The following is a 16,667-nucleotide window of genomic DNA, read 5'->3' on the forward strand; positions in this document are numbered from 1 at the left end:
ATGAATTGAATATTTCAATTCATAGTTGGTTGAATCCACAGATGCAGAACTCACAGATATGAAGGGTCGACTGCATATATACATAATGGAATAATATCCAGCCTGAAAAAAGAAGGAAATTATGTCAACAAGATGGATGGAATTGGGGAATATTGTGTTAAGTGAAATAAACTAGGCACAGAAAAACAAATACCACATAATCTCACTTATATGTGGAACCTAAAAATGTTGAGCTCATAAAAGCAGGAAAAAAATGGTGGGTCCTAGGGGTTGAGAGCGGGGCTGAGATATTGGTCGAACAGTACGAAATTTCAGTTAGATAGGAGGAATAAATTCAAAAGATCTACTGTACAACATGGTCATTATAGGTAAGAAGAGTGCATTCTTGAAAATTGCTAAGAGAGTAGATTTTAAGTGTTCTCACCACAAAAAAGTACGTGAAGTAATGCATATGTTAATTAGCTCGATTTAGCCATTCTACAATGTATACATATTTCAAAACAACATATTGTACGCAACAAATATATACTCTAAAAATGAATAAAAATAAGTAAGTGGGCCAGGCACAGTGGCTCACGCCTTTAATCCCAGCAATTTGGGAGGCCCAGGCAAGTGGATCACTTGAGGTCAGGAATTCGAGACCAGCCTGGCCAATATGGTGAAACCCCATCTCTACTAAAAATACAAAATTAGCCAGGTGTGGTGGCACACGCCTGTAGTCCCAGCCACTTGGGAGGCTGAGGCAGAAGAATTGCTTGAACCAGGGAGGCAGAGGTTGCAGTGAGCTGAGGTCATGCTACCGCACTGCAGCCATCTCAAAAAATATATATATATATATGCATCTGAAGTTGAAAACCACTGCACTAAATCCCTTATAAGGCCTATATAGCTGTAAGCTTCTGTCATTCTTTTTTTTTTTTTTTTTTTTGAGATGGAGTCTCATTCTGTTGTCCAGGCTGGAGTGTAGTGGTGCAATCTCGGCCCACTGTAACTTCTGCCTCCCAGGTGCAAGTGATTCTTGTGCCTCAGCCTCCCGAGTAGCTGGGACTACAGCTGCATGCCACCATGCCCAGCTAATTTTTGTATTTTCAGTAGAGACAGGGTTTCACCATGTTGGCCAGGATGGTCTCGAACTCCTGACCTCAAGTGATCTGCCCACCTCGGCCTCCCAAAGTGCTGGGATTACAGGCATGAGCCCCCACGCCCAGCCACTTCTATGATTCTAATAGGCCATGTAAAATATTGTATTGACATAATCAAGAAAGATACCTTAGCATTCCATGCAACTAGTTAAATGAAACAGCTTAATTGCCATCATTCATGGATTTAGATATTCACATCTGTATTGCATGCATATTACAATTTGACACAAGAACTGTACTGGGGATCTGATGGTGAGCAAGACAGATGTGGTCTCCTCTCATAGAACCAACAATCTCATGGAAGAAGAGTTAAATAAACACACCCCAGTGTTTCTATGCCGGAGATCGTTAGGGTAAAATGGGAGTACATAGAAGGGGCATCCTCAGTAAATCTTAAATTGTATTATTCAAATTCTCTAAATAAAAATCAAAACATCCTTCTGTATGGTTGGTATTCTATTTACCTGGTCTAGCAGCTTATGATAATGCAACATGTGCCAAAAAGAAAAGCTAGAGGTTTGAAAATTTCAGGTTTGTGTTTGCTGTCTGTACACACAAATAAATGCTCAAGTTGACACTGGACATCTGTGTAGCCCCAAAACAAAAGCAAGAATGAAATTCCCTCCTTTCACCCCCTTCCTACCCGGAAGGCACTTTTAGAGATATTGCATTGCTTGTATAAAATTTAGACTTTCATTTACAATCTGCTTGAACTCAGAATAGCAATAAGATGGAACCTATCTCAAGGATTCAACTAATGATGCATGCCATTTCATTTAAATAATAAATGGACCACATTCTGATGTTCTGGCTCTTTGGAGAAATTATCAACACTGTGATTTACATAGAAATAGACACGATTTGAAATCAAAAGAAAATCTTCACTCACAGAACAGCTCTTGCATTAGGTAATTTTTGCTGAAATAAGCTTTTTTTTTTCTAAAAAGCTAAGAAGGATAAAATCATGTGATTGTTAAACCAAATTAATTCCATTTTAATTTTCTAAAGCAATGGGTCACAGTTAAAAGTACTGGGTGACCGACATTAACTCTTTCAAGTAATATATACTGCAGTGGTCTTGAATAGTATCCTAGCAACCTAGAAATGTTCAGGAAATTTCCAATAGAATATATATTGAATGCCAGCATCGCCACACGAGGATCAGTGCTGTTGTATTAACTTTGCATTATATTAACTGACACATGAGGTATATATAGACAAAAGATCGGAGTTCCCCAGCAGTGAAGACATGCAACTTTCCATAAACATGGGCTTCCCTCCTTCAGCCATAGCATGGACCATGAGCCACTCTGCCTGGTGCAGTACTATCCAAGGACTAGGTAAGAAAGGACAGCCACTCAGGTCTCGTGGTGCCAGGGGCTCTGTGGCTTCCTTCTTAGTCAAACAAGTGCACGGTCTTTCTGCCACTAAATTCAGGCAATGAGAACTTTTTATATGAAGAGTGTTGTTGCCAGTTCACTCCCCAATCCACTCTTGCTATGTTCTCTCGAGCACTCTGATTTTTCCCCATATACTCTGGGTCAATTCCAACTCACCCCATGTATAAAACAAAGTGGGTTTTATTTTATTTTAATGTCTTATCATCCTACCAAATTCAACATGCCCAGAATTGAGCCCAACAGCTTCCCTGGGGCCTCTGTACTTCCCAGACAATCAGCTCTCCCTCCTTATTTTTAGTGTCTGACACCAGTAGACACCATCCTCTTCCTCATCATTCTTACTAGAAAGCTTGGCGTTGTTTTGGACTTTTTCCTCTGCTTAACACTTTACTTCCAAGCCCCAGCGAGCTCCGCCATCTCTCCCTCTTCATTCCAGTTCCTCCCACCCTGCCTCAGCCCCTTGTGGTTTTGTGTCCCAATAACCTAAGAACTTCTTCCTAGTCTCCTTTGCCTCCCACATTACCCTTAAGCCATCCGGACTACATTTTGTCGCTAGACAAGTTTTCCTAGTCAGCCTCTCCTGCTTTTAGGAACTCCCAGTGCTTCTCTACCAACGAATGCACTGCTGAGGATAACAATAACAGTGATGGCAAGTGATGACAGCAACAACCTCTACCACGTCTGAGCATTCTGTACCAGGCCTGGGACAGACACTTTATACACACACCATCACGGATTTTTACAAAAGCCACACGGAGTAGCTATGATGATCCCTAGTTCACAGGGAAGCAAACAGAGCATCGGAGTGTTTAAATGACTTGCCCAAGATTCCACATGGACAGGACAGAGTTCCAAGTCCAAGTCTAACCCCATACTGTATGTGTTATGCCATGTTGCTTTCAAAAAGCTTGGATTTCCAGTTTGGTTCAAATGTGAGTAGAACCTTCTGATCTAACCTTATTGCTTACTGCTCTCTGACAGGCACCTACTACTTAGGAAGGTCCAGTGTGCGTCTCTCAAGTGCTGTCCTCCCTAACTTTGCCTTAGTGTACCCCTCACCCCAGGAATGTTCTCCTTCTACCTTCTGTTTATCTAAATGTTACTCATTCTCCAAGGTTCTGATCAAGTTCAACCTTCACCACAGGCTACTCTCAAAGCAGTGTATTCCACCCTGGTATTCTCTCTTCTAAGAGTTAACATGTGGTCAGTCCTCCACACTTTATTTGTTCACAGTTTTGTCTCTCCAGTTAGACATGATACTAGAGTATAATAGGCAGGGTGCAATGGCTTCACATCTGTTATCCCAGCACTTTGAGAGGCCGAGATGGAAGGATCGCTAGAGCCCAGGAATTTGAGACCAGCCTGGACAATATAGTGAGACCCAGTCTCTACAAAAAATACAAAAATTAGCCAGGCATAGTGGCTTGTGCCTGTAATCCCAGCTACTAGAAAAGCTGAGGTGAGAGGATCTCTTGAGGGCAGGAGTTTGAGGCTGCAGTGAACCATGATTGTGCCACTGTACTCCAGCCTGGGCAATAGAGCGAGACCCTGTCTCAAAAACAAAACCCTGTGGTTTTGTTGTTGTTGTTTTTTTTTTTTTTTTTTGAGACAGAGTTTCACTCTTGTCACCCAGGCTGGAGGCAATGGCGTGATCTCAGCTCACTGCAACCCCTACCTCCTGGGTTCAAGTGATTCTTCTGCCTCAGCCTCCTGAGTAGCTGAGATTACAGGCGCCCGCCACCACGCCCAGCTAATTTTTGTATTTTTAGTAGAGATGTATTTTCACCATATTGGCCAGGCTGGTCTTGAACTCCTGACCTCAGGAGATCCACCCACCTTGGCCTCCCAAAGTGCTGGGATTATAGGCATGAGCCGCCGTGCCCGTCCCAGACCTGTGTTTTGATTCTATTTTCTGGCTATGGGAACTCACACTACTTGCCTTCTTGAAGCTGTTTCCTCATCTGTAAAAGAAGATAAGAATTCTTATTTGACAAGGTCGTTACACAGTATAATGAGATAAAAACATGTAAAGCCCTTTCCAGAGTACTTGGCAGCCTCTACATGTGAGTTTCTTTCCTCTTTGAGGGTAAGGCTATGACTCAGACTTGCAGAGCGATCACATTAGCAACAGTTCATGGGTTTTCAGTTGTATAACAGGATACTGAGTTGCTTGTTCCAACTGAGGCTTTGAGATGCAAGAGAAAATATTCCAAGTATCCAGAACCAATTTCAGGACACCTCTCACTCCAAGGGGAGAGAGAAGAGAGTGAGAGCGAACTGGGGAAGTGAATCTGTGATAAGAATTTCCCTGAAGGGAAAGCAGGGACTCGAACAGGTACTTGAATATCCACGTTCATGGCAGCATTATTCACAATAGTCAAAATATGGAAGCAACCTAAGTGATCACTGACGCCTGCATGCATAAACAAACTGTGGAATGTACGCACAGTGGAATATTACTCAGCCTTAAAAAAGAAAGGCAATTCTACCACATGCTGCACCATGGATGAACCTTGAACAGATTATGCTGCTAAAGAAGCCACTCACAAAGGTAAAATATGTTTCCTATAAGTACCTAGAGTAGGTACTTATATGAGGTACTTGGAATGTTGTATGGAATGTTGCATGCTTCCTGTAAGTACCTATTGTAGGTACTTATATGAGGTACCTGAAGTAGTCAAATTCACAGAGACAGAAAGTAGAATGGTGGTTTCCAGGGGTGGGGAGAGAAGGAAATAGTGTTTAATGGGAACACGGTTTAAATTAGGGGTGATGAAAAATTTCTGCTTATGGATGATGGTGATGGTTTCATGAGAATGTGAATATATTTAGTGCAAAGGAACTATACACTTAAAGATGTTTAAGATGATAGATTTTATGTTACATGTACTTCACCACAATAAATAATTTTAAAAAAAGAAAGAAAGAAAAAGAAAGGGTGGAAAAGTGATGCAGCCTGCCCAAATTTTCACCCTGTGGCAAGAGGACGGCCCGCACTGAGCAGGTTTACAAGGACATGAGGGACACAAGTGAAGTCCCATTTGTCTTTACAGCACCTGAGTCCACTGGTTCAAAGGGCAAGTGACACAAGTATAGAAAAACTGACTCAAACGGGCTTAAACTATAAAGTGAATTTATTGGCTGAGACAATTGCTCTAGATCTGTGGTTATCAAACTTTAAGGAGCAGGCAAAGCTTGTGAAAACACAGCTGGCTGGACCCCACCCCATGCTTCTGACTCAGGAGGGCTGGGGTGGGACACGAAGGTTTGGCTTTGCAGCCACTGCTGTGGGACGCTGTGGCTGCTCTGAGAGCCCTGTGTCCTGGAACGCGCATGTGTCACGGGTCTGGGGCTCTGCTTCCCCAGTCTCTTGCTTCTCCCCTCCATCTTCCAATTTACCGGCAAGCTGATTATCCCCACAAGAGCTGAAGTGTCTGCCCCAGCTCCAGGTCTCACCTCTGCATACCACATTGTCTAGAACAGGAGAAATGCCCTGCATCCCCAGCATTCCTGGAACAAGCCGAACTAGATCACTTTAGCTCTGAAGCCCGTTTCAACTAGTTACCCTGGCCAGGTGTGGAGGCTGTGGATTGGCCTCTGCTTGGTGCTGGGGGTGCCTCCAACTTCCCTAGAACCACTGGATCCCAAGGGGAAGCATGGAGGGAGAAATAGATGGTGGGGGCCGGGCGTGGTGGCCCATGCCTATAATCCCAGCACTTAAGGAGGCCAAGGCAGGCGGATCACCTGAGGTCAGGAGTTCCAGACCAGCCTGACCAACATGATGAAACCCCAACTCTACTAAAAATTAGCTGGGAGTGGTGGCTAACGCCTGTAATCCCAGCTACTCGGGAGGCTAAGGCAGGAGAATCACTTGAACCCAGGAGGTGGAGGTTGCAGTGAGCTGAGATTGCACCATTGCACTCCAACCTGGGCAATAAGAGTGAAACTCTGTCTCAAAAAAAAAAAAAAAAAAAAACAGAAAGAAAGAAATAGATGGTGGGGAGGAAGTCAACATGTGTCTCCAAACCCAGAAGAGAAGCTTGAGGTTGGCAGAGGTTAGATCACGCGAGCCATGCTCAGGGGCTTAGAGCTGAGCCTGAAACCAGAGGACAACCACGGAATGATTCGAATCAGAGGAGGGACATAATCCATTTCAGCAAGATGGCTCAGGCACAAGTTGGAAGAAGGACTGGGGAGGAGGACTTGGAAGGTTAAGGATAGCGGCAACGCTGAGTGCTCTCCCTGACCCTTGCATCCTGCCCTTTAGAGGCCTGATCCTATCCTGGGCATTCCCCACCCCACACCCTGCTCTATTTTTTCTTTATTCCCTTTCTTCAGACACTTCACACCTAGCATGCTGCATTCTTCACTTATTATGTTTATTATTTCTTATTTGTCTGCTCTGCTAGAATATCAGCTCCATGAAGGCAGGAATCTTTGTTTGTTGGATTCAGTGATGTATCCCCAGTACCTTGAACAGTGTCTGGCACATAATAGATGCACAATACAAGTTTGCTAAATGAATGAATTTCATATGAGAACTCACTATATTTGTCTCTGTGTCTGTCTAAGCTGGTCCTTTTGCCTCAATTCTCTTATTCTATTTCACCTTCAGACTTTCCAGGTTTAACAAAGGCTTCAGCCTGGGATTCTTCCCTGATTACAAACCTTGAGCTGCCACCACCCATTCCCTGTATTCCCTTGACATTCACTTGTCACAGTGCATTGTTCTCTCCTGCCTTTCCCATAAACTGGTGTCTCCAAGAGGGCAGGACAGAATGTTATTGGTCTCTACATTGCAAACATGTAGCACAGTGCCTGATGTGTTGGAGCAGCAATAAGTTTGTTGAATTAATGAGCCAATGAACAGTTACATAAACAAATAAGTACTGCCCAATTAGTACTTGTTAAATGGAAGAACAAGAAACAAAACACAAGTGGCTCTGATAGTTGGTTTTCTATGTAACCATTCTCATCCCTGATATTAACAAATAGAAAAATGATTTTGCTTGCCTGAGCTCTACTTGCTCTAGTTCTGCTGTGCTCATGATAGCTTGCTCTTTGAATCCATTAATGGCAAAGCCTCCCTTCAGAAACTGTCATTTTAGAGTCTCTGCCATAAGAACTGAGCTCTTATGTTTAGCAGCAGGGATGGAATTGACTGAAGGATGGAACAAAATCAATTTTCGCTGTGTCTGCAGCACTGCCACTACTGCAGAGCCAGCTACCAAACCCAAGTTAGCAAGGACAGCCTCAGCAGGGCCACCCATCCTGGAGACACCGACAGCACAGCAAGGACAGAGGGGGCTCACGAGGGTCACAGAGCAGCTCAAGTTGTCCTGAAGACAGCCTGGCTGTGTTCTCTTCCACGTAGCTGTCAGGCTTGGTTTCCTTCCTCAGGCAAGGAAGAAAATACATTGACAGACCTATCTGGCAAGCCAAGATCTCTGGGATCTGTCCCTCTCTCAGGAAATTATCTTTTCTTACATAATTGCAGATTTTTTTAATAGCTGGAAGGAATTTTCAGCATCATCCCAACCACAATTTGCCACATTTATAGATACAAACATTGGGTTAGGGTCTTAATCGTGGCAGCAAATGAAAGGCTATCGTTGATGATTCTGACAACAAAGAAGCTCTCTGACTTGTGGCTCAGATTCTACCCAGCATCCTAACAAATGTCTGGAATGGATCACAAAGAAAGGGGTGGTCCCACACATGGGATGCCGTCCTGACAGTCCTGCCATGCTAAAGTCATTCTTCCTCAATTGTTCTGATCTGCAGGGATCCTCTTGTCCCTTGATTTCTAGAACATTCAGTTGGAACCAGTTTATGATGTTGTAATGCCTGGTATCTCAACATTCTTGGCTCATGTATGCCTCTTCTCTGTTGTCCTCTGAATTGAATCCTGGGCTTTTTGAGACAGAAGCCATATTGATGTTTATTGTGTAATCCTCAAAGTGAACAACACAGCTCTAGACACAGGATAACTGCTCCATAAATACATGTGGATTTATTCTTGTCGGGAGAGTAAAACTTCGTGTGACGCCACAACTTACTTATGATGGAGCCGTCCCACCATCTTTGCACAAAAACAACATTTTAATAAGTGGTGGTACATTCAATACTGAAAATGATCTGCATTCAATACCGAAAATAATCTTTAAAGTAATCTGTGAACAACTTCCTCCACTCTTTCCCCGGTATTTCATATATAATTTTATTCTCCAAGAAGTCAGACAATACTATTTGCTTTATTAAAAATAATGACATTTTACTATTTACATTAACAAGCATTTATTGAATGCCTCCAATGTGCAAAGCATGGTTTCAGGTAACTTGGGGTTACAAAGAGACACACAAAAGAAACTTTTCTCTCAAAAAACTTAATCTACCAGAAGAGACAAATAAATATATAAATCTAACACAATGAAAGGCAGAATGAGATAAATTCCATGAAATAAGTTGACCGAAGTACATTGAGAACACAGAAGAATCATAGAAATGTAGAATTCAGGGTGGAAAGTCTTTAAAAGTCCTCCAGTCCAAGTCTCCAAAGATTCCTACAATCCCCTCTACCATGACATCAAACGAGCATGTATCATAGCTTATGTTTGAACAGCTCCCATGACAGGAACTCATTATCTCCAAGCCTCCTATTTCTAAGCTGTGTATTTTTCTCCTATCAACTGATGCATGTGAGATCCCATGTCTAATTACTGGGGCAATCCACTGTCCTTTCCTATGTGGCACTGGGCACACCTGTCAGTAATCTATTACATGCTAATATGCAGGAATACTTCTTCTATATATGTCTAGAGTTCTATATAAGTAATATCAAAACATTTACAAAAACAGAATTTTGCTGGGCGAGGTGGCTCATGCCTATAATCCCAACACTTTGGGAGGCCGAGGTGGGTGGATCACCTGAGGTCAGGAGTTCAAGACCAGCCTGACCAACATGGAGAAACCCCGTCTCTACTAAAAATACAAAATTAGCCAGGCAACGTGGCGCATGCCTGTAATCCCAGCTACTCAGGAGGCTGAGGTGGGAGAACTGCTTGAACCCAGGAGGCTGAGGTTGTGGTGAGCTGAGATCGTACATTGCACTCCAGCCTGGGCAACAAGAGCGAAACTCTATCTCAAAAAAGAAAAAAACAAAAACAAAAACAAAAACAAAAAACAGAATTTCAGCCTGGCCATTACGGTGAAACCCTGCCTCTACCACAAAATACGAAAATTAGCCAGGCATAGTGGCATGTGCCTGTTGTTCCAACTACCCAGGAGGCTGAGGTGGGAGAATCACCTGAAGCCGGGAGGCGGAGACTGTAGTGAGCCAAGATCATGCCACTACCCTCCAACGTGGGCAACAGAGTGAGACCCTATCGCAAAACAATAACAACAACAACAACAACAACAAAAAACCAAACAAAAAAACCCAGAATTGAAATGATGAGATAAAGATGAAATATATAATACTTATGAAATGGTATCAAATTTTATTTTGCTAACATTATCCACCCCCTTTGCCCTCAGTATAATTATACTATTATTAATAATGTTCTAAATGCTTAATCATGATGGCCTCATAGTATGATGGGCTAATATCTCAAGACATAATATTCCCTTCCAGCTTGATTTATTGCTAATGATAGCAGATGTAAATTCATAGTTCAAATAGTTTCCTGTTCACTTCAACTGTGTTCAGCCAACTTCTAAGCAGATTTGAATTTATCTCATAATGTGGCTGACAAAGAGCTAATTCTCAGTGCTGGAGACATGCCGGCTCTGCCTTTTCCTTGCTGCTGTCTTGTGCTTAGATGTTTTGCAGTCATCAGTTTTTAGACGTTTAGCCATTTTGTTGGAACTACTTTAGTTAAATCAAGACAATATCCTCACTGGGTCCACTAAGCCTGCCACACATCACAATTACTCTGAAAGCCAGCCAAGGAGTGCAGCAGTCTTTGTCAACCCTCCACACTGTGGAACCCCTGCTCTTCCCTTGGGACACCTCAAGTGTGTAAGGGACAAAAAGACCTATTTGCTTCTCGTGTACCCCAGTGGATCATCGCGTCCTGGCTCCCTTAGGATATCACTTTTTACAGGGATCTACATTTGGTTTTCTGCAAGCTCTGAGGGTGAGAGAGCTCTTCCTTTCATTGAGTTAAAACCAAGTTGTATGATAGACAGCCAGTCTGCTCCCTCTCTGATATGACCTCCATGGGCCTTGAGTCTTTCTTTTTTCTTTCTTTCCTTGAGACAGAGTGTCTCTCTGTTCCCCAGGCTGGAGTGTAGTGGTGCAAACATGGCTCACCGCAGCCTCACTTTCCAGCACTCAAGCAATCCTCCCATCTCAGCCTCCCGAGTAGTTGGGACTACAGGTGTGTGCCAACATGCCCGGCTAAATTTTTAAAAATTTTTTGTAGGGATGGGGTCTTACCATATTGCCCAGGCTAGTCTTGAACTCCTGGGCTCAAGTGATCCTTCAGTCTCAGCCTCCCAAACTGCTGGGATTACAGGTATAAGCCACCATGCCTGGATTCCCCTTGGGTCTTTCTGCCATACCTGATGTCCCCAGACAACTCCTTGTGGGTCTAGCCCTGGGTGTCAGCATAATGTCTGTAGCGCTCTGTGTTCCTTAGCATCTTTTTCTGCCAGTTATACGCTGCTTACAGGATCTCTGACTTGCCCTCCACCAGTCAGTCCTGATGCCACTGGTATTCCAGCCTGTCAAAAGAGAAAAAAAAGATAGAGATAGAGATGGGGTGGGTGGGTACTAGTTAGTTTGTAAACATAATTCTTGTTTTCATGCAGAAAATCTGAAACATAGTGAATAACAAAAATTAAACATTGAAATCATCCATCTGGATCTGACATCCCAGATCACAGTCATAGCAGCCAATCTCAGAGATGAAACATTGAAACATTTTGATGTATGCCCTTCCAGATTTCTTCTATGCATATAAAGTCAGATATTTCCTTCCAGCCTCTTTTTTTTTTAATCATTAGGCTTTTCAAATGTAGCAAGCACATCTATCTGATGCTGAATTAAACTAGAGACTGAAGGTGGCCTGGTCCATATCATTAAGCTGAAATGTCTCTAACCTAGACATTCCTCTCCTCTACAGAGTAGGTTTTGAGTCTTTGAGTCTGTGTGTGCCTGCACTAAGGCATACTGGAGACAATGTCTTCGTTTCGAAAAGAATAGTCCAGATCATATAATCCAAACTCCAGTAATAATTAGAATTCCTGCCCCACCATCTCCTGAGTGGGATCCAGCCTCCTTTTTTTTTTTTTTTTTTTTTTTTTGTGAGAGAAGTCTCGCTCTTGTCCCCCAGGTTTGAGTGCAATGGCTTTATCTCGGCTCACTGCAACCTCCGCCTCCTGGGTTCAAACAATTCTCCTGCCTCTGCCTCCAAAGTAGCTGGGATTAAGGCGCCTGCCACCACACCTGGCTAATTTTTGTATTTTTTAGTGGAGATGGGGTTTCATCATGTTGGCCAGGCTGGTCTCGAACTCCTGACCTCAGATAATCTGCCTGCCTCAGCCTCCCAAAGTGCTGGGATTACAGGCGTGAGCCACTGTGCCCGGTCGATCCAGCCTCTATTTTACACTTTCAATCTGGGAGGAGGCTCAATGCTTCCCAAGGTAACCTGTTCCAGTCTCCCCGACCTCCACATCCTAATTGTTAGGAAGTCCATACTGAAAACAAAAGGCATTGGTATACCTGAGGCCTAGAGAAGACAGTGAGGATGCAGGAAAGCTAAGAAGAGAAAGTAGAATTATAAATGGGCAGTGAAGATGAATAAAAGATGAATTTTTACAAGCAAGGTTGGAAAACCTTGAGGATCTACTGTGGGAAGCGGAGGAATGAAGTATTAGGAAGGGCCCGTGCCATTGGGTTTCAGGTAAATTGCAAGATAATAAATGACATTTCATTGAGTGGTCTGCCAAGCTTTATTATTGTTCATTCCTTTGTATTTTTGGATATTGCCTGAATTTTTTCTGAATTACATCAGGTATGGTCCAGAAACTTTCTTTAAATGTTATTGGGCTTCAGTAACCTGACAGTGAGTTTCTTTGAAATGCAGATAGTTCAAGGTGGAAAAAAGCATAACTTAATTGATTCAAAGAAGCAGAGGCTTGGATAATGATATCATTTATTTAGTGTAAACCCAGACTAATATTCCTGTCTAGGCTGGGGCTTAGCTAGGAGAAAGGACTTTAAATCTGAGAACCTCAAAGGAACTTGGAGGCCATTTTATTCAATCTCTGAATTTACTTCTGTGACTCACAGGGACTCAGCATGTTTCCTACAAGAATACTGGCCAGTCAGGTGGGCACGGTGGCTTATGCCTGTAATACCAGCACTTTGGGAGGCCAAGGCAGGTGGATCAATTGAGATCGGAGTTTGAGACCAGCCTGGCCAACATGGCAAAACCCCGTCTCTACTAAAAGTGCAAAAATTAGCTGGGCATCATGGTGCATGCCTGTAGTCCCAGCTACTTGGGAGGCTGAAGCGGGAGAATCCTTTGAACCTGGGAGGCAGAGGTTGCAGGTTGCAATGAGCTGAGATTGCTCCACTGCACTCCAGCCTGAGCAACAGAGCAAGATTTAGTATCAAAAAAAAAAAAAAAAAAAAAGGATACCAAACAGTCACAGGCCATGGCAGTGAACGTCCCAGGTCACAGTTGTTGGAGCCAATGCTTTGGGCATTCCTGCTGTCTGTGGCCGTACAGTACAAAATCCCAACCCAGAGACTGACTTGTCTCAGCAAAGGGAAACAAACAAACAAAAAATACAAAAACCAGTAAAGATTAACAAGCTTGTTAAAAACAAAAAGGTTTGTATAGGAAAAAAACACAATATAAATAGAAGTAGAAAAGACAAAGAAAATAATGTTTGTAAAATATAAAGGAATAGTGTTCATAATATGTTTTAAAACTTCTAAAAATCGATTTAAAGTGAATAAGCCAGCAGGGCGTGGTGGTTCACGCCTGAAATGCCAGTGCTTTGGGAGGCTAAGGCAGGAGGATTGCTTGAGGCCAGGAGTTTGAGATCTACCTGTGCAACATCGTGAGACTCCATCTTTATCAAAAACGAAAGAAAAAACTAGCTGGGCATGATGACACACACTTGTAGCCCCAGCTGCTGGGGAGACTGAGGTAGGATGATCGCTTGAGCCTAGCAGTTCAAGGCTGCAGTGAGCTATGATCATGCCACTGCACTCCAGCCTGGGTGTCAGAGCAAGATCCTGTCTCTATTATTAGAGAGAGAGAAAAAAAAAAAACCAATAGAAATGTAGGCTTCTACTTTCCCACAAAAACTTGGAGATAGGGGCACTATTTTTCTCAATGATTACATTTTTTTTTGTTTGTTTCTTGAGACAGAGTCTTGCTCTGTGGCCCAGGCTAAAGGGCAGTGGCATGATCTCGAATCACTGCCAACCTCTGCCTCCCAGTACAAGCGATTCTCCTGCCTCAGCCTCCCAAGTAACTGGGATTATAGGCGCCCACCACCACGCCCAGCTAATTTTTGTATTTTTAGTGGAGACGGGGTTTCACCATGTTGGCCAGGCTGGCCTTGAACTCCTGACCTCAGGTGATCCACCCACCTTGGCCTCTCAAAGTGCTGGGATTACAGGCATGAGCCACCGTGCCCAGCCAAAACAATGATTACATTTTAAAATGATGGCTCCCAGTTCCTTGGGAAAGTCATTCCAAGGCCAAAAGCTGACAACAGGCTTCTTTAGCTTTTAAAGCAGTTTACATACATCTCAGAGTGGGAAAGAAAGAAAGTGGTCACCCTAATTCCCAGGTGAGTTTACAATGAACTCTGTGTGGCAAATGGTGCTGTCAAGCCCTCTTACTTGAGGACTAGTTGCTGTTCGTCTTGAGAACATGCATGGACCGGGTTGTATCTTCTCATCTGTATAAAGGTTAAGGCTTCTGTCTGTCTCTGCTGTCTTTTTAGCAGTTTGCCTGTGATGTGTATTACATTCTGGTTTAATGTTTGCTGAATAATAAGACAGTTTCCTTTCTTCTCTACTTTTGTGGAAAGGTTTTCTAGGTTGGCAGGAAGTTTTGTTTTTAGTAATATTTCACTAACACAAATCATTCATTGACAATGAGAAGTGCTCGTTGCTTGGTCCCTGGATTCTCTCCATGTAGGAGAATCTTCAGGGAAGCCAAATTGTCTCTAGAAGATTCCTTGGTGTTGTGGGATGAATTGTGTTCCTCTAAAAGTATGTTAGAGTGCTAACCCCCCCAGTACCTCAGAATATGAACTTACATGGAGATAGGTTCTTTACAGAGGTAATCAAGTTAAGTGAGGTCATTAGTGTGGGCCTTAACTGATGTCTCTATTTGGATTTTGGTTGCAGGGTCAGGCATGCATAGAGGGAAGATGATATTAAGAGACCCGGAGAGAAGGCAGCTATCCACAGCTATCTAGAGAGTCCTGGAACAGGTCCTTCCTTCACCGCCCTCAGAAGGAACCAAACCTATTGACACCTTGGTTTTGGACTTCTGGCCTCCAGAACTGCCAGAGAAAAAATTTCTGTTATTTAAGCCACTCAGTAGACTTTTCACGTGTGGGTGGTATTTTGTTATGGCAATCCTAGCAAGCCCATACAGTGAGCGTGGAATCAGAGCAAGGAGATACGACTGTATGAGTTAAATCCAAAATGGTGTTGGCTGTCCAAGGCCCTCCCCTCCATAAGAGAAATGCCCTTCTCCTGAGAACAAGACAGTTGTGCATCAGCAACCACCCCATCCCCTCCATTCCCATCTCCACAGGGCCGGAGACATAGTGTCCCATCTTGGCCTATGAGTTTCTTTCTCTTTTCTTTTTTTTTTCTTTTTTGGATAGGTCTTTCTCTGTTGCCCGGGCTGGAGTGCAGTGGCGTGAACGTGACTCACTGAGTCTTACCTCCTGCCTCAGCCTCCAGAGTGGCTGGGACCATAGGCATGTGTTACCACGCCCTGCTAATTTTTTGTATTTTTTTGTAGAGACAGGGTTTCGCCATTTGCTCAGGCTGGTCTTGAGCTCCTGGGCTCGAGCAATTGTCCTGCCTTGGCCTCCCAAAGTGCTGGGATTACAGGCGTGAGCCACCGCTTGGGGCATAGGTTCCTTTTTCTAGCTTTGTGCAGACCACTCCCAGGTCACTACTCAATTACATGAAGGCCTGAATGTTATTAAGTTCAGTGCAGAGCGATGATGATCAAAGTAAATAACACATTGACAGTGAGTTCAGATATATGCTTAGAGATTGCAAGAAGCTTTATTCTAAGATGTCTCTGTCCCCAAACAAGATAATTCGGTCTGATGGTCTTCCCTTAAGTGCATTTTGGGGAGTATACTTTTAAATTTAGTTTAAAATATTTTAGAAATGAAATTAAATTGCAGTTCTTGGGGATTTGCAGCATGCAAGGGCAGGCCAGGACTCCCACAGTTCCATGTTGGGACTTTGTGAGGGGAGCAGCCCTGCAGGTGCCTTTGAGCAAAGAGTGAACCTCCTCTTCCCTCTGGGCAGGTGAAGCCCCACACCTGGGCATGGTGACCGAGATATGGACTGGGTTTCCCCTCCCCTGTGTGCTCCCACCTCTGGGATACCTTTGTGCAGCACATAAACTATACCGCCGGTCCAGGGAACGCAGATTGGAAACCAGTGGTATCTGTAATCAAACTCCATGTTGTTCCACTGTAGCAGCAAATCCTGCTGACAGTAATAGAATTGTGGGAAGGGGAGGGTCTCAAGGCAGGTCAGCTTTGATGTGTTCTACGCCGGCCACGTGGCTTTTGAAGTTAGGTCATTCCTTTGTACTCTGTAGGCCCTATAGGTATTTGAGGAGATTCCCAGGCCTGTCCCCCCACCCCCTACTTCTCTTTCCTGGTCCTGTTCTCCCTCTCCTTTTGCTTTGATCTCATTCCTCTTCAACTCCCAGCTCTTCTGTGCGACCCCTTCACTTGCCTCCATTGCTGGCCCCTCTCCACTTACTGTAGGCTCACACACTTCCTGATTTGGGGCTTGAGGCTTTCTCCTGGGTACTGTGGCTTGACACCTTGGCTGGGGTGGGAATGTTCTCAGCCTCAACTTCCACAATCCAAGACCAGCTCTGGGACG

This window comes from Homo sapiens, chromosome 8, assembly GCF_000001405.40.
Source record: "Homo sapiens chromosome 8, GRCh38.p14 Primary Assembly".
Lineage (NCBI taxonomy): Eukaryota > Metazoa > Chordata > Mammalia > Primates > Hominidae > Homo > Homo sapiens.